The sequence below is a fragment of the Homo sapiens genome, chromosome X (genome assembly GCF_000001405.40).
Source record: "Homo sapiens chromosome X, GRCh38.p14 Primary Assembly".
Taxonomy (NCBI): Eukaryota; Metazoa; Chordata; class Mammalia; order Primates; family Hominidae; genus Homo; species Homo sapiens.
Window position 1 is genome coordinate 136,752,610 of NC_000023.11, and position 23,405 is coordinate 136,776,014.

The 23,405-nt window shown below is 42.1% G+C and overlaps 1 protein-coding gene and 1 pseudogene across 12 annotated transcripts in view, besides 7 other annotated features; one reads left to right on the forward strand and one right to left on the reverse strand.

The window, feature by feature from the left end:
- Positions 1-23,405, reverse strand: part of ARHGEF6 (Rac/Cdc42 guanine nucleotide exchange factor 6) — a 115,383-nt gene that overhangs the window by 87,060 nt on the left and 4,918 nt on the right. For 2 of the 12 annotated variants that reach the window (NM_001306177.2, XM_047442675.1), the window contains exon 1: positions 14,535-15,206. The exons of 6 other annotated variants lie outside the window; for them this stretch is intronic. Coding sequence is in view for 4 of the 6 variants with exons in the window: in NM_001440997.1 (NP_001427926.1) it covers positions 6,631-6,708 (78 nt within the window). In the remaining 2 variants the exon portion in view is untranslated. Of the gene's footprint in view, positions 1-6,630; positions 7,014-14,534; positions 15,207-23,405 lie in introns of those variants that run through there. 4 more of the 12 variants (XM_047442673.1, XM_011531415.3, NM_001440997.1 and 1 more) reach the window with 3 other exon arrangements.
- Positions 14,476-14,605: a silencer, noted in NCBI's record as "silent region_21029". NCBI's record gives its function as "represses an Ori minimal core promoter by ATAC-STARR-seq in GM12878 lymphoblastoid cells {active_cell/tissue: GM12878}" and the evidence as "EXISTENCE:reporter gene assay evidence [ECO:0000049][PMID:35858748]".
- Positions 14,666-14,715: a silencer, noted in NCBI's record as "silent region_21030". NCBI's record gives its function as "represses an Ori minimal core promoter by ATAC-STARR-seq in GM12878 lymphoblastoid cells {active_cell/tissue: GM12878}" and the evidence as "EXISTENCE:reporter gene assay evidence [ECO:0000049][PMID:35858748]".
- Positions 14,720-14,888: a silencer, noted in NCBI's record as "fragment chrX:135849488-135849656 (GRCh37/hg19 assembly coordinates)". NCBI's record gives its function as "represses an EF-1alpha promoter that drives an FKBP-Casp9 reporter gene in an ReSE screen in phorbol 12-myristate 13-acetate-treated (for megakaryocytic differentiation) K562 erythroleukemia cells {active_cell/tissue: K562(+PMA)}" and the evidence as "EXISTENCE:reporter gene assay evidence [ECO:0000049][PMID:32094911]".
- Positions 14,720-15,085: a biological region, named in NCBI's record as "ReSE screen-validated silencer GRCh37_chrX:135849488-135849656".
- Positions 14,746-14,795: a silencer, noted in NCBI's record as "silent region_21031". NCBI's record gives its function as "represses an Ori minimal core promoter by ATAC-STARR-seq in GM12878 lymphoblastoid cells {active_cell/tissue: GM12878}" and the evidence as "EXISTENCE:reporter gene assay evidence [ECO:0000049][PMID:35858748]".
- Positions 14,806-15,085: a silencer, noted in NCBI's record as "silent region_21032". NCBI's record gives its function as "represses an Ori minimal core promoter by ATAC-STARR-seq in GM12878 lymphoblastoid cells {active_cell/tissue: GM12878}" and the evidence as "EXISTENCE:reporter gene assay evidence [ECO:0000049][PMID:35858748]".
- Positions 15,818-15,927: an enhancer, noted in NCBI's record as "active region_29995". NCBI's record gives its function as "activates an Ori minimal core promoter by ATAC-STARR-seq in GM12878 lymphoblastoid cells {active_cell/tissue: GM12878}" and the evidence as "EXISTENCE:reporter gene assay evidence [ECO:0000049][PMID:35858748]".
- On the forward strand, positions 21,390-21,491 carry RNU6-972P (RNA, U6 small nuclear 972, pseudogene; annotated as a pseudogene).

Here is a 23,405-nt window from a genome sequence, read left to right on the forward strand (position 1 = left end):
CATGTGGTTTCAGTAACACCCAATCAACTGCTATTTAAAGGTAATTTAAGGTTGGGGGTGATTATAATAGGTTCCATTACTCAAGAGTTAAAAGTCTAATCAACTGAAAAGCAAGTGATACATTGGGACCACAAGGACATATAGCTTATATTTCAAGCCTGTTTTTTAAAAAAGATTCCAAATATTTAGGAACATTCCAGCTCTTCCTTGTTCTTATTGCTCTTATTGAACAAAATCTTAAATTAACTTAGCTCATCTTGAATCACATTCTTTAATTCTCACAGCTGAGCACACTGCCTCTGTTAACCCCTGAACTTTGGTGGAAATGTCATTACATAGTGCAACAGAGCAAGCAAATCTGAGCTGCTTAGTCATATTTCACTGGGTGGTACCGCTCCTGGCCCTGTGAACGTGATCTGGGATGTGTGCACATAGCTCCTACTAAAAGCAGTCACAAAGTCAGCAACAAATAATGCTCTTAGCTCAGAAATTGGATTCATTACCCACTGGTATTCCACTTACTAGAATATAGTGGATGGCATTTCTACTCTGCCTGGTTTTAAATAATAGCTGTTCCTATTTGATATGGACCAAACTTAAGGGAGCAAATCTTGCTCTCAACTTTTATTTCCTCCCTTTCTCTCCAAGATCTAATTTGTGCCTGTAGCTGAAACAACATACAGTGTATTGGAAAGAGCACTGATGTGAGAGTCAGAAGACTTTGACTCCAATCTCAGCTTTGTCACTATTGAGCAGTTGTGAGGACCTTAGGAAAGCAACACTACCTTTATGAGGCTCCATTTCCCATCTGGAAAGTGTCTTTGAGCAAAGGAGCTCAGTGAGAGGTCTTGTGGTCCATCATCTAAATAGGAGCTTTTAAAGGCAGCATCTTGGCTGGGTCCCCAAGGCCCAGAATCAGGTCTTCAGTTCTCAAGGCTCTTGAGAATGGACTCACACTAGCCAAGCTCATAAAAGGCCAATGCATAAACCAAAAGGCCAATTTCTTAATTTTTACTAAAAATAAATGAAGCACTAAGAAGATTAAATACTCCCATTTTCTGGCCAGGGCACTCTCTCCCAATAGAGAAATCTCTCTGGTGAGCTAAATTATAATGAGAAATGTGTTGAGTACTACAGAATCAGAGCAAAGAGAGTCTAGGGTATTGCAGCCTAACATGCTTACAACCTGTTTACAAGCTGATTTTTCAAAATGTCATTTTTAAATGACCTATTTATAAATTCTGGCTTTATCTTGCTGCCACTGCATCGTGGCATTTGGACTGTGATCATGGACAGCTTTAACTCTCTATGTTTTCTTTTTGGCTCTGTGGATTTCTATAAAGTCACTTTACATAACTAATATGGACTCCTAGATTACTCGAACCTCATAGAATCTAGAGCCAGGAAGTTCAGCTCCATGGAGCTCCTATGACAGAAGCCAAGATCTGAGCTTTCTCCCTCACTCTTCATTAAGTCACAAATCTCATTCCCTGACGGCTACCTCAGCATCACCATAGGACTCCCATTCTTCCTTGTTAGCACTCCTATAGGGGAGAACCCCTTTCTCTATAACAGAGACTTTAGTTGAGTATTAAGTGTTCAGGTAAGAGGGGAATGAATGAAGAACAATATAGGCATCTTAGTGGGGCCAGTCACAGGATTAAATAAAGGGAGAGCAAAAGAGAACAACTGATGGCTGGGCACAATGGCTCACACCTGTAATCCCAGCACCTTGGGAGGCCGAGGTAGGTGGATCACTTGAGTCCAGGAGTTCGAGACCAGACTGGCCAGCATAGTGAAACCCATCTCTTCTAAAAATACAAAAATTAGCCAGGTGCAGTGGTGGGCACCTGTAATCCCAGCTACTCAGGAGGCTGAGGTAGAAGAATGGCTTGAATCTGGGAGGCGGAGGTTGCAGCGAGCTGAGATTGCACCACTGCACTCCAGCCTGGGCAACAGCGAAACCCCGCCTCAAAAAAAAAAAAAACAACGAAAGAAAAGAAAAGAAAAAGAAAAAAGAAGAAGGAACAACTGGTTTTGAATAATCTCACCAAAAAGAGAGTAGGCATGAAGGAAAGGGAAAAATGAAATATCTCTTGTCAATAGCCCTTGCCAAGCCAAGGACAGGAAGCAGGAGGCCTAGACTCAGCTGCCTCACAGTCAGCCAGCCATTGTGGCTTGGCGGGCTCCCACCCCTCCTCCTGTGCTCCTGTCACCAGAGCCTTTGCAAAAGCACACTGGTTGCCAGTTTTGCGGTGTGGGGTGGATGGGTGATCTCTCAGCTGCTGGAGCATCTGTGTGCCAGACATGAGGGTGTCTTCCCCAATGCCCCCACTCCCACCCCTTTAGAAACAGGGACTGACTCCCTAGTGTTCCAAATTGGAATGCGGAACACATTTTCCCAGAAACAGCATCACACCTGCCACTTAGCCTCTGTGAGTTCTATAGTTCAGCCACATTAAGTATTCAACAGGCTGTTGTGGGCCAGCCAGAAAACATAATCACCGTGTTGAGCCTTGTTTCTATGGGAAAATGTTTTCTGTGTCCCTAATAATCACTTAAAAATGAACTTTTGGAAAATAATTTGTTTTTACATTGAAGAGTGGCCAGACATGTGTTCCCAAATCAATGTCCAACATCCTTTATGCTTTTTCCTTGTCCCTTCATATAAAAGATGAACAAATGCCCTAGACATTCAGGGTACTATTTATTTTAGAACTCTTAGTGATGAGAGAATCAAGGTAAATATATGAAGTCCGTGAGAATACCCTCAGAAATTTCAGTAGTCAGCAGCTCCTCCGTGCCTGTTTAACAATCCAGGCAGTTAGAGAGGAGCCTCACCTATGGAGAGAAGGCTCCCTTGGTCCCTGCTTTCCTAGCAGCTACTAAGATTTAGGGTAGGAGCCCCAGAGCCTACCAGAATTTACAGCAGAGACTGGTGGTAAATAGCCCCACACAAAGACTAGGGAGAAACGAGGGCCATGAAACAAAAGAGCCACTGCTAGTCGCCTTCAGCAGCAGCCCTTCCAAGTATCACCTGTTGCTATCCATAATGTCCTCACTGACCTACCTTCATGTTTCTTTTTTCCAAACAGCTACAGCTTTATAGTCTGTAGAGATGTTGTAAATTTAAGCTGTCAGTGGTCTATCAGCCCAATATTCTTTATTCATTATGCAGGTACTGAGATTAGTCCTGAATTTCCTATTAAAAGGTAGGCTCTTTGAAGTCCGCATTCCCCCACAGACCTGGCCCCAATATTCAACATACACGAAATACTTGATAAATAACCATTCATTGGTTGATTGACAGGATGCTCTGTCAGAGAGACTTATAAAGGTAAATTATGCCTAGAACGTAAGCCCCATGATGTCAATTTTTTTTTCACTTCTGGATCCTCAGTGTCTAGAAGAGTGCCTGTCACGCAGTAGGCACTCAATAGATATTTGGTTAATTAATGAGAGTTTAGCTGTTCTCATCAATAGATGATTAATCATACTTGAAGAAAAAGTATTGCAGAAAGTATAATAAACTCAGAAAGAGATATCACTTAGGAAAGAAAAAAAACAATCTCCACGCAATTTTCCAGGAAACATGTAACATCTAAAATTAGATGTACCTGTGCTCATCAGCAAAATTAAGCTCTGTGACCACGAGGTGACCAAAGGTGCTTCAGACTCTACGGTTGTTAATTTTTTAAGTTGTGTGCTGAGTGTGGGCAACATCTGCAACTGCTTGCCTGTCCCAGGTAATAGAGGTTCCTCTAAATGCCATCACAAAGCACCATGACCTCATTATCATAGAGAAGAGAAGTTGCAAAGAACTGTGGGATTTTACTGCTTTTTCTGGAATTGGTTATATTTTCAACCGTTTTTGTTGTAAAACTGAATAAATGGCAAACACTACAAGCCACCCTCCCCTGTTCATGCCTATGCTCTAAAACTAGCTCCAACTCACAGCCAGAGCACAATGGGACACGGCAAAGCAACTCACCAGCAGCAAGAAGGGGTAACGTGTAATTGGAAAGACTACAATTCACATGCCCAAAATCCTCCTAACACCTGCTAAACTTGGAGGAAAGGATGCTGTGCCAAAGTTATTATTATTTTCTCTCTTTACTTAGAGATTACCTTCAGCCATTCATTTGGCAAAGACTTTTGGCTCTTCCCATTTATATATCTGTGTGATTCACTTTTTGAAAAGTATGTCATTTTCAGAGACACTCATCAATGCCTAACAGACATAAATTAATTAGTGAATCCTGCTCCAACTTACTCCAAACAGGATTTGCACTTAGGAAACAATCCAAACACTGTTAGGTGGGCATTCAGGAGCTCAGATCTCACAGACATCAGAAATGGTGCTTTTAGTTAGCACTCATGTCTCTCAAAACACAGCAAAGGCATCCAATAAAAAGCCTAATATAACCCAAGATCAAGTCCACCCTCTTCAGACTAGCATTCAAATTACTTCTCAAGGCCAGGCGCAGTGGTTCATGTCTGTAGTCCCAGCACTTTGGGAGGCTGAGGTGGGCTAATCACTTGAGGTCAGGAGTTTAAGGCCAGCCTGGCCAACATGGCCGTCTCTACTAAAAATACAAAAATTAACCAGATGTGGTGGCACACGCCTGTAATCCCAGCTAGTGGGGAGGCTGAGGCAGGACAATCGCTTGAAACCAGGAGGCGGAGGTTGCAGTGAGTTGAGATCGCGCCACTAGCCTCGGCAATCTAGCCTGTCACGCTCTAGCCTGTCGCACTCTAGCCTGGATGACAGAGCAAGATGCCATCTCAAAAAATAGTAATAATAAATAAATTTAAAATAATTTCTTCTCAAGCATCTCTAAGGTAGACCTTAGCAGGCCCATCGTTTCTCACCATCATCTCCTTATATGCTCCAGAATCTTCTTTCTTCACTGTGCCTCTCTCTGACATTTATACTTCTCCTTCAGAAAGTTCCCTCAATCATCTGAATGCTAGCTATCCTTCAGGGCCCAATCCAAATCACTCCCTTCCATGGTGTTTTCCCCAAACACTACGCCTCAGTACACAACAGGCTTCCCTATTTCTGAATTCCTCTTGCATTTAGGCTCTAGATTCTGGAACCACTAACTTGGACACCTAACCATACACTGCTAAATGCTGTTAAATTCCACTCTTTCACACATACATGCTGCCTCTGTCCAATAGGCAGGAGCCCACAGTGCCAGGCATGGTGCTCACTTTACAGACATTGGACAAGTTCTTGCTAAGTGTCAGTTTTCTCTCCCAGTCTAAAATTCAAACAGGTATGTCTTCCACCAGAAGCACCTGCCCTTTGGGCATGCCTTTCCGAGAAGGAAAGAGAGGAGGAAAAGGCAAATTTTTTAAAGTAGAATTTGATAAATCAAGGCTCATATATTTTCCATCACCTGCTAAAAATAAATTCTTTTTTTTTTTTTTTTTTTTTTTTTTTTTTTTTTTTTGGGACGGAGTCTCGCTCTGTCGCCCAGGCTGGAGTGCAGTGGCGCCATCTCGGCTCACTACAAGCTCCGCCTCCTGGGTTCACGCCATTCTCCTGCCTCAGCCTCCTGAGTAGCTGGGACTACAGGCACGTGCCACCACGCCCGGCTAATTTTTTTGTATTTTTAGTAGAGACGAGGTCTCACCGTGTTAGCCAGGATGGTCTGGATCTCCTGACCTCGTGATCCGCCCGCCTCGGCCTCCGAAAGTGCTGGGATTAACAGGCGTGAGCCACTGCGCCCGGCCAAAAATAAATTATTTTTTTTTTAAGAATATGATTTTAAAATGCTGACAAAGCATTTACCTCACCGAAAAGAAATGAAGTTACTGCCTGAGATCACTTTGGAGAAAATCACAGTCAGAGAATCCTCACATGAAGAGCTCACACCTTGAAAGCCCAGTGAAAGCAAGAGAGTTTCGGTAATAGAAGAAATAAGAAGTAGCCTAGAGACTGGAAAAGTAGAAAAAGGCTTCCATATGACATCACAGGAGCTAGTATCTCACACCTTTAATTTTCTTTTTTTTAATTTTTAAAAAACTTGAAACAAGTACCCTAGCTTGGCATAAAGTAATGTTATCTTAGGGGAAACCCAGCTTTCTTTCTGTCCTCATTTTTACCCATTAAAGAGTCATTTTTATGAATAAAAGTCAACTCCTGACCATCTACATGTAGACTCTTAAATACACAAGCTATCTAAAATGAAATTTTAGAAGTTCATTTCCATTCAAATACCCATTCATTATCCATTCAACAAATATTTGTTGAACACCTGGTGTCTATGCCAGGCAGTAATACATAAATTTGTTTTAAGATGAGAAATAAAAAGAACCCTATATAAAATCTGGCAAATGAAGTCACCCACAGGTACATTAGCCCTAAAACCATTTTCTATTCTGTTGTCTCTACTTGAAGGTGATTTTTTAATCTCAAATCAAGATTTGCCCCAATACACAACACACTCCCAAATACCAATCCTTCTTCAGAGAATGCAAAGTGGTTATACAAACAGTGTAAACGCTTATTTCCACTATCACAATGTATATTCTCACAAAAAAGTTGTTAAACTTCTTTTGTTAGTGAAAGACTGCAGTCTCCTGATCTGCATACATTTCTCAGAAATTATTAGTACATACCTCTCTTTTGCTGGAGACCTCCTCATGAAGAACATACAAATTAGTGTTCAGGCCTGCTTCACAGGCAGGGCTTTTCATAAATGATGTTAAGAGTTTGACACCTTAAAGATGCCTCTTAAGGCTGGCGCGGTGGCTCACACCTGTAATCCCAGCACTTTGGGAGGCCGAGGGGGGCGGATCACTTGAGATCAAGAGTTCAAGACCAGCCTGAGCGACATAGTGAAACTAAAAATACAAAAAATTAGCCGGACATAGTGGCACATGACTGTAATCCCAGCTACTTGGGAGGCTGAGGCAGGAGAATCGCTTGAACCAAAGAGGCGGAGGTTACAGTGAGCCAAAATCGCACCACTGCACTCCAGCCTGGGCAAAACAGCAGGACTCTGTCAAAAAAAAAAAAAAAAGCCTCTTAAAATAATGTCCATGCTTCCAAGAAGTAGGGAAACATCTTTGTTATTGTTGAGGGTGAGACAAGTCCTTAATAATAGTTTCACTTGCTGCTTTGCAAACTGCTGCATTTTATCTCACCTTAATTTAATTCCTTCTTTTCCCTGTTGCCCTATTCACTCACTCAATTGACATGTCTGATCTCTGGAATAATATTCAAGTCCCCAAGAAAGTATAAAGCTTGGATTTTACCAGATTTGCCTAAGTAGAACTTAATTAGGAAGGTAAATCTTCTGCCAGAAGTCCAATAGAAATGATACGTGACTACATGCTGTTTTGGATGATCCACATCTCTAAGCCCATACATCTCTTTGTGTGATAAGGCCCAGTTTGCCAGGGTATGACAAAGCCTGGAGCTAATCGGACAGATATCTAGTGTCATAGGTCTTTCTTCCAGCTGACAGCAGAGGAAGTGCCATTGCCCATGTTGAAATGCAGATACAGAGTAGCTTCTGGACTAAGTGGACATAAACAACCCCCTCTAAAAAACTGGTAAAGGGAGGGCCCTAAGAAACTGGCAAGTGCCTTCACACTTCCTCATTTGCAATTCAAAGGACCAACTCTGCATTTCCTCTTGGTACTAACCCCAAATGTCATCACCAATCGCTCTGCATACCTTATGCTGTGCTGGCAACATCACATCACCTCTCAGACTGATCCTTGAGGGCCACCTCAATGATAACAATAAGACCAAGTTAGAATGGGGCTGGAGTAGGGAATAGCTGGCCAAGATTGTGTGGTTTGAATAAAGAGGTATATTGTGTTCTGTTGTCCCCAGAAACAGCCTGGATTACAGTCAACATTAAAACCAAATTAGAGTGAGTTAGATTTAAAACAAGATAATTTACATCTCCAGTCAGGAAGATTCTAATAATTAATCAAATTTTCTAACAAAATGCCTTCCTTTTGGTATATGTTTGGTACATTCACCCCAATTCAGAAACAATGCCTTTCTTTTTTAGATATTACATACTGTGTTTTTTAAATAGAAGCCATTGATTTTTATTTTCCCCCTCAACTATGCCAAATTCATCAGGTTTATTGCTTATTTCCTGAAGGCAAGAGGTTTTTGGCAATCATCACCAAAAATAAAAGACCATTCATTGTATTGTTTAACTTAACTTAAACGATCATCTTGCTTTGGGGTGTATTTTAAAATTTCAAGCTATTTTAATTTTAAAATAAATATGTCTGTTTTAAAAGACAAAAATTAAACTAGTTCATCCAGGTAAACATGAGCAACTGAAAATAGTCTTTTCTCACATTCTTCTAGTTTATGCATAGACTAGAAAAGAATGAAAAGATCTGATTTTTCAATACCCAGAGGAATCCATCCAAACTGTTTCTATTATTAGAACACAAAATGGTAGCTCAAGAAGTTACTGTGGTTAACAACTGAATAATTCATAGTCTCTGAAGAATTCAGTTGCTTTGTCTTCTCCAGTTCCTCTTTACAACTGGATCCCCAAATATATTTCTAGTCCTGAGCTGTTATAAAGGAAACCATACACAAATTGTTTTCAGCAGTTAAAAATTGACCATGCTAAGCATTGAGAACAACAGCAAGACAATAAGCTAGGGAAAGAACAAGAACTCTTACAAGGAGTTCCTAAAACTCTTCAGATTGCACATATATTGTCTGAAACTGTAGTTAAAAGTTCCAATCTCTGTTCCATGGATATCACTGGGCTGCAATATCACGGAAATTTAAACTGTCTTTATGTAGCCTTCCAAATAAAATATAAAAAACCAATTAAATATAATATCTAAATTATTTTAAACATATTTCAACACACTGTAATCTAAATTTGAATTATTTTCTATGATGAAAAGCACAGAGACAAACTCAGAAACGAAAGCACTTTAATAGTGAGTGAAAGATGCTAATAATGTTGAAGGATTAATTTCTGCTGTTAAGCATGGAGAACAGAGGCCAAGTATGACATCACTATTCATCTAAGACGCCCAGAAATATTCAACTTTGTTTTGCCTTCTAGAGATGTGTTAAGTATTAGAAAATATGTGAGGATTTTACCTTTGACTTTATTTTTAAAAACATTTTGCCAAAAACAAGTGGTCTCTGCCGAATAGAGCATAGTACTGAGAGAGAAAATGGCTGGATTTTTTTTTCCTATTTCAAGTTTTAGCCCTGTCTCAATTGCAAATGTAACTAGTAAAACCTCAGAACCCTTGGAAAGCCCACAGTTTACCCTTCCATTTTTTTTCTTTTTTTTTTTGAAACGGAGTTTCGCTGTTGTCGCCTAGGCTGGAGTGCAATGGCATGATCTCAGCATCTCAGCTCACTGCAACCTCCGCCTCCCGGGTTCAAGCGATTCTCCCACCTCAGCCTCCTGAGTAGCTGGGATTACAGGCACCCGCCATCATGCTCAGCTAATTTTGGTACTTTTGTGGAGATGGGGTTTCACCATGTTGGCCAGGCTGGTCTTGAACTCCTGACCTCAGGTGATCCTCCCGCCTCGGCCTCCCAAAGTGCTGGGATTACAGGCGTATGCCACCATGCCAGCCTGCCCTTCCAATTTTTTTAAATGTTAAATTTTCAAAAGGAAATCTTTCTAAAAATCAATGACTCACCTCTTAAACAGAGTTAGCTTACCATAACTGAACTAAGTGAACTTTTTTAAAAATAATGCAATGTTTTTTATCTAATATATCCCAGAACACTGATCTACTGGGATATATTAAAATTCCAATTAGGAACTAGCTTTTATTGAGAGTTCACTCAGTGCCAAGGACGGTGCTAAGTGCTTTACTTGCTTTCTTTCATTTAACCCTAGGAAGAGGCATATACTTTTTTTCTTTTTTTAACCAGAGTCTCTCTCTGTCGTCCAGGCTCCAGTGCAGTGGCACAATCTTGGCTCACTGCAACCTCCACCTCCCAGGTTCAAGCGATTCTCCTGCCTCAGCCTCCCAAGTAGCAGCAATTACAGGCTTGTGCCACGATGCCTGGCTAATTTTTGTATTTTTAGTAGAGATGGGGTTTCATCATGTTGGTCAGGCTGGTCTTGAACTCCTGACCTCAAGTGATCCGCCTGCCTCAGCCTCCCAAAGTGCTAGGATTATAGGCGTGAGCCACTGTGCCCAGCCAGAAGCATATACTTAATAAGTGGTATTACTACTACCTCCTAGGAGGTTAGCATATACCTAATAAGTGGCCAACCAGGTCAGTCCATGTCCAAAGCTCAAGCTCATAGTCCCTGCACTGGTATACAACTTCTCAAGAAAAAAAAGGCTGCCCTAACCAGGAATCAAACCCAGACCAAGGCAGGAAAAGGAACATATTCTAGCGACTAGACCACACAGCATGCCTGACACCACATCAAAAGTCCCCAGAGAGTTATGTGTTTGGGGGTCTGCTTTTTATAGTTTTTCTGTCTCCTTTGCTGACATGCTTTTGATTTCAGTTATTCCACGTTGTACATAGATATATAGAGTTTCTGCCATTGCCAGTGTATCTAATCTAGGGCAGCCCCTCATTTCCCTTTATCACAACTTTCTATTTAGATGCTATTTTCCAGTTTACAATGTGCTTTCACATACCTTACCTCATCTCATTTAATCTGCTATTTCTAATCAGTTTCAGGGTGAGCAACCAGATTACCCATAATGCTAACATGCTGAGATAAGTAAAAGCAATTAGGCTTTGAGCAAGGGCCTGAGGCAGTGTCCTATGAATAAAGTACATAATTCTTAGTGCAAAGATGGGATGTCTCCTTTGCAGCCCAGATCTTCTCTGAGTACTCAGTCATTCTATCAATCTTTCATCTAACAAACCCTTCCTAAGCACTTGCTCTGTGCCATGTCCTGTACTGGGCGCTAGGGTTATAAAGATGATCACGGCCGGGCACGGTGGCTTACGCCTGTAATCCTAGCAGTTTGGGAAGCCAAGTCGGGTGGATCACTTGAGGTCAGGAGTTCAAGACCAGCCTGGCCAATATGGTGAAACCCCATCTCTATGAAAAATACAAAAATTAGCCGGGCGTGGTGGTATGTGCCTGTAATCCCAGCTACTCAGGAAGCTGAGGCAAGAGAATCGCTTGTACCTAGGAGGCAGAGGTTGCAGTGAGCAGAGATCGCACCACTGCACTCCAGCCTGGGCAACAGAGCGAGACTCTGTCTCAAAATAAATAAAGAAATAAAATAAAGAAGATCAGGCTCCAGTTCCTACCTTTGAAAAGTTCTGAGACTAGCAGATGTGTTCACAAAAAAAAACAAAGCAAGGGTGGACGAGCAGTATAAAGGTAGCTTGGCACAAGGGATTATGGGAAAATAAGTGTAAGCTGCCCAATTTTGCTGAGAAGACTGTCCAGAAGATTCCAGGCTGAGAAGAAAGTTGGTATCTCCTTCTGTATGGTTCTCAGCTTAGTGGCAGACAGTTGAGGTCACTAGGTTGCTGAACGCTGGATAAACCAGGGAAATGGTTCTCAACTCTGGATACACATTAGAATCACTTGCAGAGCTTTCAAAAAAAAAAAAATCACAAGGCTTGTCTGATTTGGGAAATGGCTGGACAGTACCTACTAAAGCTGAACACATGCAGACCCTATGACGTAGCAGTGACACTGTAATGCATAAACCCAACAGAAATGGGTGTATATATTCTCCAGGAGACACTCACGAGGATCTTCATAGCAGCATTGTTCACAGCAAACAAAAACTGGAAACAATGTAGATGTCCATCAACAAGTGAATAGAAAAACAAAACATGGTATATCCATACAATGAAATATTATACAGCAAGAAAAAAAGTGAACCACTACTACCTGCAACAACACGGGTGACTTGTACAAATATTATGCTGAGTGAAAGAAACCTCATACAAACAAGTACATACTGTATGAGTCCGCTCATATAGAGTACCAAAACAGGTGGGAAGGCAGGGTATCTACTACGATAGTGGTGGATAGTCATGATAGTAGTGCCCCTTGGTGAGGCATAGTGACTGGGAAGGGGCACGAGGATAGCTTCTGGGCACCAATCCTGTTCTGTTTCTTAATAAGGGTGCAGACTGTATGAGTGTGTCAGTTTGCGAAGATTCACCAAACTATATACTTAGGATTTGTGCAATTTCCCGAATGTAAATATAAAGTTGATTTAAGCATTTTTTTAAAAAAGGAATACCAGTGGCTGGGCCTCATTGCGGACCAATTAACTCAAAATCTCTGGGTTATAAGACCCCAAAATTTGTATTTTTAAAAAGTATCCCAAGTGACTCCAATGTACAGCCATGTCTGAAAACAAAGGAGCTAGGTGTTCCTGTATTTATCAATAGCTTTGGGGGCAACAGCAGCCTAGCACAAGGCAAAGGGAATGAGTTCTGGAGTCAGGTACATCAGTGATTACATTCCGGTTCTTCTTTGCACTGGCAGTGTGAGGCATCAGTCTGGATCATCTCCAAACCTTGGTTTCCACCAGGGTATAATGAGTACAATGCCACCTACCTCCCAGGAGTGTTGCAAGGGCTAAATATGATAATAGATTTAAAGCACCTAGCATAGTGCCTGGAACATAGGAGGTGCCTGAGAAATGGTAGATACTCAACTCCTTTTCCTCCTTTGCATCTACGGTCCTAAGCACAGTGATAAACAGATTGCTATAAAAGAACAAAACTCATACTCTTCAATTTCCTCTCCTGAATGAGTTTCTTTGTAAAGATTGAAGTAATGTTATACTTGGACTAATGATGTCAAATGAATATCAGAAATTTCTGGGCCCTGGCTACTCACTCTATTCAGCACCTGCTCTCCCTGAATGTGAGTAGAGAAGAGGCAGACTGTAGGTAAATAGAAACCACAGACCATCCTTTGAAAAACTCTCCTCCTGTCCTTACCCCTAAGAACAGCGCCAGCCCTGCACAAGCAAAGACAAGGCTGAGATGTGAGTAGGCAAAAAGAATAGAAAAAATTAGTAGCTTGGAAGACATACCATCCATAAAATGTGCCACATAAAACACTTTTGTATAAAATGTCACATTTTAGTAAAAATAAACGAACAAAGAAAAAACCTAGGCTGAAAGCAGGAGGTCCAGGTTAGAGTTTTGATCCTACCAGTGATAAGCTGTATGACTTCGATTAACTAAACTTTTCTGTTTCTTTGTCAAGTGAAAGTAATGCCATCTCTCCTACATCCTTTACAAGGGCACGGGGAGTTTCAGATAACTAGAAGGCATTCAAAAAATTAAGCACCAAAGAAATGCAATATGAGAATAGTAGCTGGAAATTTACTTTGTTCAAAACTCCAATCATCTGCACAGCACCCAGACTAAGACAGAACACTCCCTTGTTTTAACTGCTCTAAGCACACCCAAAGAGTACACCAGCCTGAAGCTGGCTTATTATGTAAGAAGGGACTGCAGCATTGCCTGGCATGTAGCATAATACTTTGCTGAAGAGAAATCCTTGGAAATGCCTCAGCTGAAGCACAAGGGCAGGCCCAGGCCTTACATTTTGGAGAGAGGTGCTCTCAGTCACAGAATTCCAGACTGTGGCTGGAGCAAATGATGTCATCAGAGATCCTCTTACCATGGTCAATGTCAAAATTAAGATAGGAAGTCCAAGGACACTATGAGTTTTCCAGGCAAATATAAGTTTAAAAAAAAACAGTTTGAACCTTTGAATCTTGCCTTTAAAATTATTAATACTTTACAGAGCATAAACTGAAATTTATCCTATTTTGTGAGGTTTTTTTTGGGGGGGGGTTATGCAAAGTTTTTATTGACCAAAATATACATAATTGCAGAGGAAAATATATTCATTTACTGTATTTTTACTCCCACTACACATTAAGAAAAGGGAAAAATATCATGTGAGTTACCCCTCTATCCAAAAACAATAACAAATCAAAAATGAAAATATAAGACCTTTGAAGAGGCAGAGATAAACTTGAGGGCTCTCCGCTGCAGAGCTAAGAAACGAAATAGCTCAAATACCTGTTGGGTTCCTAAATGACTGGAAAATGAAAACTTGTAATTAACTACAGGCACTTTGGAACACCTTGTAGAATACAGGTCTTTTCCATCTACAAACCATTCCTGCGACAGATCTCTGTACTTAATGCAGAAAACATCTCCAAATGTATGGATGCTCGGGGTTGGGAGGGCATCACAGTAGTATTAAAAATGGTACTGTTGACTCCTGCTCTGGTTCTGGGGGAAGGAAAGAATCCAGTCGGATGCAAACCTTGCGGCCAGAGCTGGACAACTCGCCCCTAAGTTTGGCGCGTCCTCGCTCTGCGTCCTTGGCCCTCATCTCCCCCTTCCCGGCACCCTGGATCTCAGCGAACTGTGAGGCCCTGGCAGAGAACGGACCCCGCAGCTGGGGCTGCGAGCCACGGCAGTGGGGAAGAAGGGCGGTTCCTCTCCAAAGGGGGTCCTTCGGCACCCACCCCCGGGCCCTCGCGCGCTCCCCTTCCCCTGACCCTTTTGCCCCCAGGCAGGTCACCTGGCTCGGCCGCTGCCCGCCTGTCCTCCAGCTGCTCCCTCACTCCAGCCGCGCCGCCGCCGCCTCCTGGAAGCCGTTCGCCCTCCCGAGTCACGGGGCCGGCGAGCGGGCGGGCAAGCCTGTGCCAAGGCTGCGGGAACAGATCAACCCAGCCGGAGCTGGGACCCTGCCCTGAGCGCGGCCGCCACCAGGGCGAAACTGGAGAGCTGGGCTAGGCTCGCCCCAGCGGGGAGGGGCGGCTGCAACTTTGCGCCTGGACGCGGGCGAGGAGGGGGCGCCCGTCTCCAAACTCTGTGCCGCGCCCGCAACCTCTCCAGCCCAGGGATTGTTTTTTAATCTAAAGGGAAGTCAGAGTCTTGTCCTCAAGTTCTTGTTGCCATAGCCGTGCCGCTCGGCGGGCGGAGGATCGCGGGGCCGAACTGGGGGTGCCGGAGGCGCGCCCCGCTGGGTGCGCTGGCTGCGAGCCGGGCGAGGGTGCGCGGGGTGGCGAGTGGAGGGGAGCGACTGCCGGGGGAGCCAGCCCGCGAAGCTTCTCCAGACCACGCTCAGCTACCCGCGCCGGTCCCCTCCTGCCCGCAGCCGGAGCCGAGCAGCGGAGGGAAAGCGGCCTGGAGGCACTGGGCCAGCAGCGGGTAAGCAGTGACCCGGACCTGGATCGCAGAAGTAGGAACTGGAAGTGACAGCGGCGCAGGCAGAGCAGCAGCAGCAGCAGCAGCAGCAGCAGCAGCCCTGGTAGCTGTGGCAGCAGCAAAAGCCGCGGTGTACCCGCGGCGGCCACACTGCGCATGCTGCTGCCGCCCGCTTCAGCCCCTACCCGAGGGCTGCCGGTGCCTGGCATGTTGCGGGTCACTGCCAGAGCTTCGGGCGGGATTCCCGGACTCATGGACTAGCCCTTTCTGGTGGCCTGCTTCCTCCCTCACCCCCAGATGCAACTCAGAACCCCCAAACTCTATGGTGAGCCGCTGAGACACCCGAGAAGCGTTGGCTCTCCAGAGGCCCTTCACATACCACCCTTCCTCCAACTATCCTAGATGCCCTTCCCGGCCTCTCTGATAACAGGCCCCAAATCAAATAGTCTCTTTGAGAGAGAACGAAAATGTTCATGATAGATGGGAAATATTTAAAATCTTATTCAATGTCTAATTTTTACAGAAATACGATGCAATCTGTAAAACATTAGGATAGCCAGACTCATGGGTGACATTTAATGTAACTCTTGGAAATTCCATTAAGCATGTCAGATTTGCACAACAGAAGAAAAGAACTTGCCAAAATCCTCTTTGGTCTTCCTACTAGTTCCAACTGAGCAGCTAAATATGCAAAGCTTTGCCTAGCGGAAACTGATGGAAATGGGCAAGTTAAAAACAGACATTACAACCATTAGACATTACCCAACCCCTACTCTAGTCTCCTCATTTTACAGATGACTCAACTGAGGCCTGGGAAAGGAGATCCTGACTTCACACAAGTGGCAGGGTCAGGGCTTGAAGCAAGATCTGCTGATACCCGTTACAACTACTGGTAATTGTAGTGGTTAGGCCGGGCCTTGTGCCTAACTCCTCCCAGGAGGCACCGCGCTGCTAGATATTTAGTCTTGACTCATGATCATTAGTAGAGCTGCCTTACTTTCAGAACTGCTTCCCTGCAGAGCAGCCCCTGGGAAATGGCAAATCGTCCATCCCACAAGCCTCACTTTGGGGAGGGCACCCCTGCTGTTCCGGTGACAAGGCAGATGGAGTGACTCAGGGAGACAGGAGGGAATGAGGGGGTGGGGGCAGAGAAAAAAACATACTGCTACCAGCTGGTACTGGAAAGAAAGAAAGAGAGAGGGGGAGAAAGAGAGGGAGAGAGAGTAAGAGAGGGGGAAAGAGAGGAGGAAGAGAGGGAAGGAGGAAGAAAGAAAGTGAAATAAGTACTAATTGAATCTCATATACATTCAGTGAAATCCTTCCAGAATAAAATATCTTTAAAAAAAAATAAACTTGGGGCTGGGTGCGGTGGCTCCTGCCTATAATCCCAGCACTTTGGGAGGCAGATGCAGGTGGATCACTTGAGGTCAGGAATTCGAGACCAGCCTGGCCAACAGGGCGAAACCCTGTCTCTACTAAAAATACAAAAATTTGCGGGGCATGATGGCGGGCACCTGTAATCCCAGCTACTTGGGAGGCTGAGGCACAAGAATCACTTTAACCCGGGAGGTGGAGGCTGCAGTGAGCCTAGATCACGCCACTGCACTCCAGCTGGGTGACAGAGCGAGACTCCATCTCAAAAATAAATAAAAATAAATAAATAAATAATAAACTTGGCTCAGGAGCAGAATAGGAGATGGTAGGGTGTCCCTGGCAATGGGTTGGTAGTAATGGTGGAAGAGGACAAAGGCAGATTACCTTCTGGGGATAAGGCAGAGGAAAGGGTTGGCTAACAGGAAAACCATAGGTTTAGAGCTTTCAGAGACCAGTCGGTCATGTAGTTGTAGCCAGGACAATGCAATCAAAGAGGTACTACCCAGGCCATTCTTGACTGATCGGAAGAATTGTAGGTGTCCCCAACTCTCAGCAACTTCAGGGGCAACACAAAAATAAAACTGCCATTGCTAGAACTTGTGTTGTTGAGAGACATCAGTGACCCTCTACCTAGACAGGAGGATTCTTCCATATATTCTGGAAACTTCACTTGGGACCTGAGTATTTTCCCTGCCTTCTCCATTCTGTAAGAAAGTAAGAAAGATATATTTGGTTCACAAAAAGGAAATACAAATAGACTATAAAGGGATAAGAGGATGTCCAAACTCATTAGTAATCATGAAATACAAATTACAGCAATAAATGAAATGCCATTTTCATCCATCAGTTTAGCAAACATTAAAGACAAATAATATCCAGTGTTGCCAGGGACAGGAAGAAGACACTGTTTACACTATTGCTGAGAGTGTAACTTGGTATAACATTTTTGAAGGGCAATTTGACATTATCTATCACAATTTTACACAGTAATCCCATTTCTGTGAAGAAAGATCCTTCAAGAATAATCACTGATGTGCACAAATTTCTATGTGCATATATAACATGATCTACTGGGTTTTATCCCAGGAATGCAAGATTGATTTAATATATGAAAATCAATTGATGTAATACAGCATACAAATATAATAACAAACAAAAACCAGTGATCATTTTAACAGACGTAGAAAAAGCATTTGACAAAATCCAACTCTTTTCATGATAAAAAACAAAACAAAACACTTATAACAAACTCAGAATATAAAGAAACCTCAATCTGATAAAGGCCATTTACCAAAAACCCACATCTAACATCGTACTCAATGGTGAAAGACTGTCTGCTCTCATCACTTCTATTAAACATTGTACCAGAGGTTCCAGCCAGAAAAATTAGGGAAGAAAATGAAATAAAAGGCATCCAGATTGTAAAGGAAGAAGTAAAACTATCTCTATTCACCAATGGCATACTCTTGTATAAGAAAACCATATGGGAATCCACTAAAAAACTATTCAAACTAATGAATAAGTTCTTGGAAGTGAAGAATACAAGATGAATATTAAAAAATCAATAGGGCAGGCACCGTGGCTCACACCTGTAATCCCAGCACTTTGGGAGGCCAAAGACAGGTGGATCACTTGAGCTCAGGAGCTCGAGACCAGCCTGGGCTACATTGTGAAACCCTGTATCTATAAAAAATACAAAAATTAGCCAAGCATGGTGCTCCACACCTGTGGTCACAGCTACTCAGGTGGCTGAGGTAGGACAATCACCTGAGCCCAGGAGTTTGAGACTGCAGTGAGCTGTAATCACACCACTGCACTCCAGCCTGGGCAACAGAGTAAGACCTTGTCTCAAAAAAATAATTATATTTCTATACACTTGCAGTGAACAATTTAAATACCAAATCAAGAAAACAATCCTATTTTTTTATAACACCAAAAATAATAAAATCCTTTGGAATAAATTGAACCAAGCAGGTATAAGACATGTACACTGAAAAGTACATAATATTGCTGAATGAAACTAAAGACAAATAAGTGGAAATACATCCCATAAGACAAATAAGTGGAAATACATCCCATGTTCATGGATTCAAACATTTAATATTATTAAGATGGCAACACTCTCCAAAGCAATCTATAGATTGAACACAATCACTATCAAAATCTCAGCTGGCCTTTTTTGTAGAAATTGACAAGCTGATCCTAAAATTCATATGGACATGCGAGGGATCCAGAATGGCCAAAGTGATTTTGAAAATGAAGAACAAAGTTGAAGGACCCGCTTTTAAAACTTACTACGTAGCTACATTAATCAGTTCAATGGAGGAATTGGCTAATGTTGTCTTTTCAACAAATGTTACTGAAACAACTGGATGTGCATATGCAAAAGAATGAATTTGGACCCGTACCTCCTACCATATACAAAAATTAACTCAAAATAGATCAAAGACCTTAATGTAAGAAGTAAAACTATATTATTCTTAGGAGAAAACAGGAAAAAAATTCTTCAAGACATTTGATTATGAGTTTCTTAGATATGACACCAAAAGCACAAGCAACAAAAGAGATGAATTTGACTTCATCAAAATTAAAAACTTTTGGACAGGCAATAACAAATGCTGGAGAGGATGTGGAGAAAAGGGAACCCTCATACACTGCTGGTGGGAACGTAAATTAATACAACCATTATGGACAGTTTGGAGGTGCCTCGAAAAACTGAAAATTGAGCTACCATATGATCCAGCAATCCCACTGCTGGGTATGTTACCCAAAAGAAAGGAAATCAGTATATGGAAGAGATAACGGCGCTCCTATGTTTGTTGCAGTACTGTTCACAAATAGCTAAGATTTGGAAGCAACCTAACTGTCCACCAACAAATGAATGGATAAAGAAAATGTGGTATGTATACACAATGGAGTACTATTCAGCCATAAAGAAGAATGAGAATCAGTCATTTGCAACAACATGGATGGAACTAGAGATCATTATGTTAAGTGAAATAAGCCAGGTACAGAAAGACAAACATCACATGTCCTCACTTATTTGTGGGATCTAAAAATAAAAACAATTGAACTAATGGGCATAGAGAGTAGAAGACAGGTTACCAGAGGCTGAGAAGTATATTGGGGAAGGAGGCAGGAATGGTTAATGGGTACAAAAAAAATTGAAAGAATGAATAAGGCCCATTTGATAGCACAACAGGGTGACTATAGTCAATAATAATTGTACTTATTAAAATAACTTAAAGAGTGTAATTGAATTGTTTGTAACACAAAGGATAAATGCTTGAGGGTATGGATACCCCACTCTCCATGATGGGATTATTACACATTGCATGCCTGTATCACAACATTTCATGTACCCCACAAATATATACACCTGCTATGTACCCACAAAAATTGAAAGTAAAAAACAAAAATGTCTAATTAATAAATTTTTGTGGGCCAGGCACAGTGGCTTACGCCTGTAATCCCAGCCTTTTGGGAGGCTGAGGCAGGTGGATCACTTGAGGCCAGGAGAGGCTGGACAATATGGCAAAACCCCGTCTCTACTTAAAAATACAAAAATTAGCCAGGCATAGTGGCAGGCACCTGTAATCCCAGCTACTTGGGAGGCTGAGGCATGAGAATCACTTGAACCCAAGAGGCCAAAGTTGCCGTGAGCCAAGATTGTGCCACTGCACTCCAGCCTGGGAGACAGAGCAAGACTCCGTCTCAAACAAACAGACAACAACAACAAAAAAAATTGTGTTACAAAGGACACTATCAAGAAGGTGGTGGGGTGCTTCCGAGAGCACTTTGTTCCCAGATGTCTCAGCAGACTTTCCTGATCAGTTACTAAATGTGTGATCCTCTAAAGACCCTAAGACATTGTAGCCATATGAGAACACACAGATGGGGGTTACTTGGAGAAGCCGACTGGCCACCCAGAGGACCAGAAGGCAACAGCTTTTTTAATGTCGTCACCATGCCCCAGAGCCCAGTACTCAATTTGTCGGTACGGTGCTGCATCTGCGGCTCCATTTTTCTGCATTTCCAAGCTGACAATTTCAAGCCGGTATGCTTTCTTTAGATAAATAATATTGTGTTCTAAGCAACAGTCAAGCCCTGCTCTTCTTGCTTTTTGTACATCTACAGTTTTATAGGGTCAACAAAAATCTATTAGGTATGTCCTATGCCAGGCACTGTGCCAGGCACTTTGGGCCCGAGAGAGACTCTATCCAGGGACATTTGCAAATATTTATGTTTAAGTCTGTCTTCCAGCTACCTGGAAGCTTCAGACAAGATGATGAGTCTTCTTGGCTGCTTCGTGCTCCCCAGCTCAGCTTTCGGTCTCATTCCTTATGTATTGATTTTATTAGTCTTCTTTCTGGGTTCTAGGAGTGCCTCAATATGGCTCCTATATATACCTTACAAGAATAATTTTGCACACAACAATGCAGAGAACATTACCGAGTAATAACACCACAGAAAACAGCTATTGTGTATGCCTTATGTGCAGTGCTATATTAAGTGCCTTGGATGTATTATCTCATTTGATCCTTAAAACAATCATATACAGCAGATACTATTAATGTCTCCATTATACAGATGAGGAAAAAGGAGCATAGAGAGGTCAAGTAACTGTCCCAGAGTTATGCAGCCAGTAATTGACCAAGCCAAGATTCTAATCTAGGTCTGCCAAACTAGAGAAGGCATGTGCTTAACCACGATGTCAGATATTGCCTCATTACAATATTCATATAATGCCCAGGTCAGCATGAATTACCAAAAAGAGATAAAAGTGTTTCCAGTGCCTTTTATTTAAGAAGAGAGAAAATTAAGACATACATTTTAGAAATATTTCTATCTTGTGCTCACTTCAGCAGCCCATATACTAAAATTGGAACGATACAGAGAATATTCATATGGCCCCTGTACGAGAATAACACAAAAATTTGTGAAGTGTCCCATAAAAAAATAAAAGTAATAAACATAATTTTTTTAAACAATAAATATTTCTATCCAAAGTGGAAGAATATTTTAAGCATTGGTGCTTAAAGGAGTAAGCATTAGTTATCAGAAAAATCCTGAACAATGCCTAACCTGGAAGGTGTTTCTGTATCATCCAGTATTCTTAGAACTGCAAAGAAGCTAAGTAAACCTTCTGGCAGCTTTAGAATGCAGAAATCATTGGCAACTTCACCATGTTTTTATTTGAAAAAAAAAAATACCATAGTATTGGCCAGGCGTGGTGGCTCATGCCTGTAATCCCAGCATTTTGGGATGCCAAGGTGGGCAGATCACTTGAGGTCAGGAGCTTGAGATCAGCCTGGCCAACATGGTGAAACTCCGTCTCTACTAAAAATACAAAAATTAGCCGGGCGTGGTGGCGCGTGCCTGTAATCCCAGCTACTTGAGAGGCTGAGGCATGAGAATTGCTTGAGCCCAGGAGGCAGAGGTTGCAGTGAGCAGAGATGACACCACTGCACTCCAGACTGGGTGACAGAGCAAAACTCTGTCTCAAAAAAAAAAAAAAAAAGGAATAAAAAAGAAAATATCATAGTATTTATTAAAGAAAAATTTAAAATTTCCTGAAGAGTCTGGACCATAATAGAAAAAAAAAAGAAAATTCCATAGTAGACATTATTCTACAAGGGATATAAAGTGGTCACCCATCACACCTACCTCAAAAGTCACACACACAGACCCACACATAAATAGAGAGAGAGAAAGAAACAGAGATTGAGAGAGAGAGTGCAAATTAGGCAATAGGGGAAAATGGAATAAAATATTCTGAAACAGATATAACCTGGTCCTAGGGCTAACTTTAGGAAAAATGGTGAAGGAAGCAAAGTTTATCTGGGGCAAAGCTACCAGCATTGCTAATAATAATATCTACCATGCAGAGAATACTTACTACATTCCGGGCACTCTTCTGGGGCCTTTACATATATGAATTCCTTGAAATGTCACATGATTCTATCAGACATTCAAAGAAAAATTGGTACCAATCCTTCTAAAACTATCCCAAAAGACAGAGAGAGATAATCCTCCCTAAATCATTCTATGAAGCCAGTATTACCCTCAAACCAAAACCAGAAACAGACATGACAAAAAAAGAAAACTACAGACCAGTACCCCTGATGAACATAGATGCAAAAATTCTCAACAAAATACTAGGTAACTGAATCCAATACCATATCAAAAAGATAATACACCATGATCAAATGGGTTTCATACCAGGGATGCAGGTTTGGTTTAACACATGCAAGTCAATAAATGTGATACACCACATAAACAGAATTAAAAACAAAAATCACATGATCATCTCAATAGATGCAGAAAAAGCATTTGACAAAATCCAGCATCCCTTTATGATTAAAACCCTCCACAAAATCAGCATGGAAGGGACATACCTTAAGGTAATAAAAGCCATCTATGACAAACCCACAGCCAACATTATATTGAACAGGGAAAAGATGAAAACATTCTTCCTGAGAACTGGAACTGGACAAGGATGCCCCCTTTCACCATTTCTGTTCAACATAGTCCTGGAAGTCCTAGCCAGAGCAATCAGACAAAAGAAAGAAATAAGGGGCATCCAAATCGGTAAAGAGGAAGTCAAACTCTCACTGTTTGCTGATGATATGATTGTATACCTAGAAAACCCTAAAGACTCATCCAAAAAGCTCCTAGATCTGAAAAATGAATTCAGTAAAGTTCAGGATACAAAATCAATATGTCAGTAACACTACTATACACCAACAGCAACCAAGCTGAGAATCAAATCAAGAACTCAACCCCTTTTACAACAGCTGCAAAAAAAATAATATACTTAGGCATATACCTAACCCAGGAGGTGAAAGATCTCTACAAGGAAAACTAC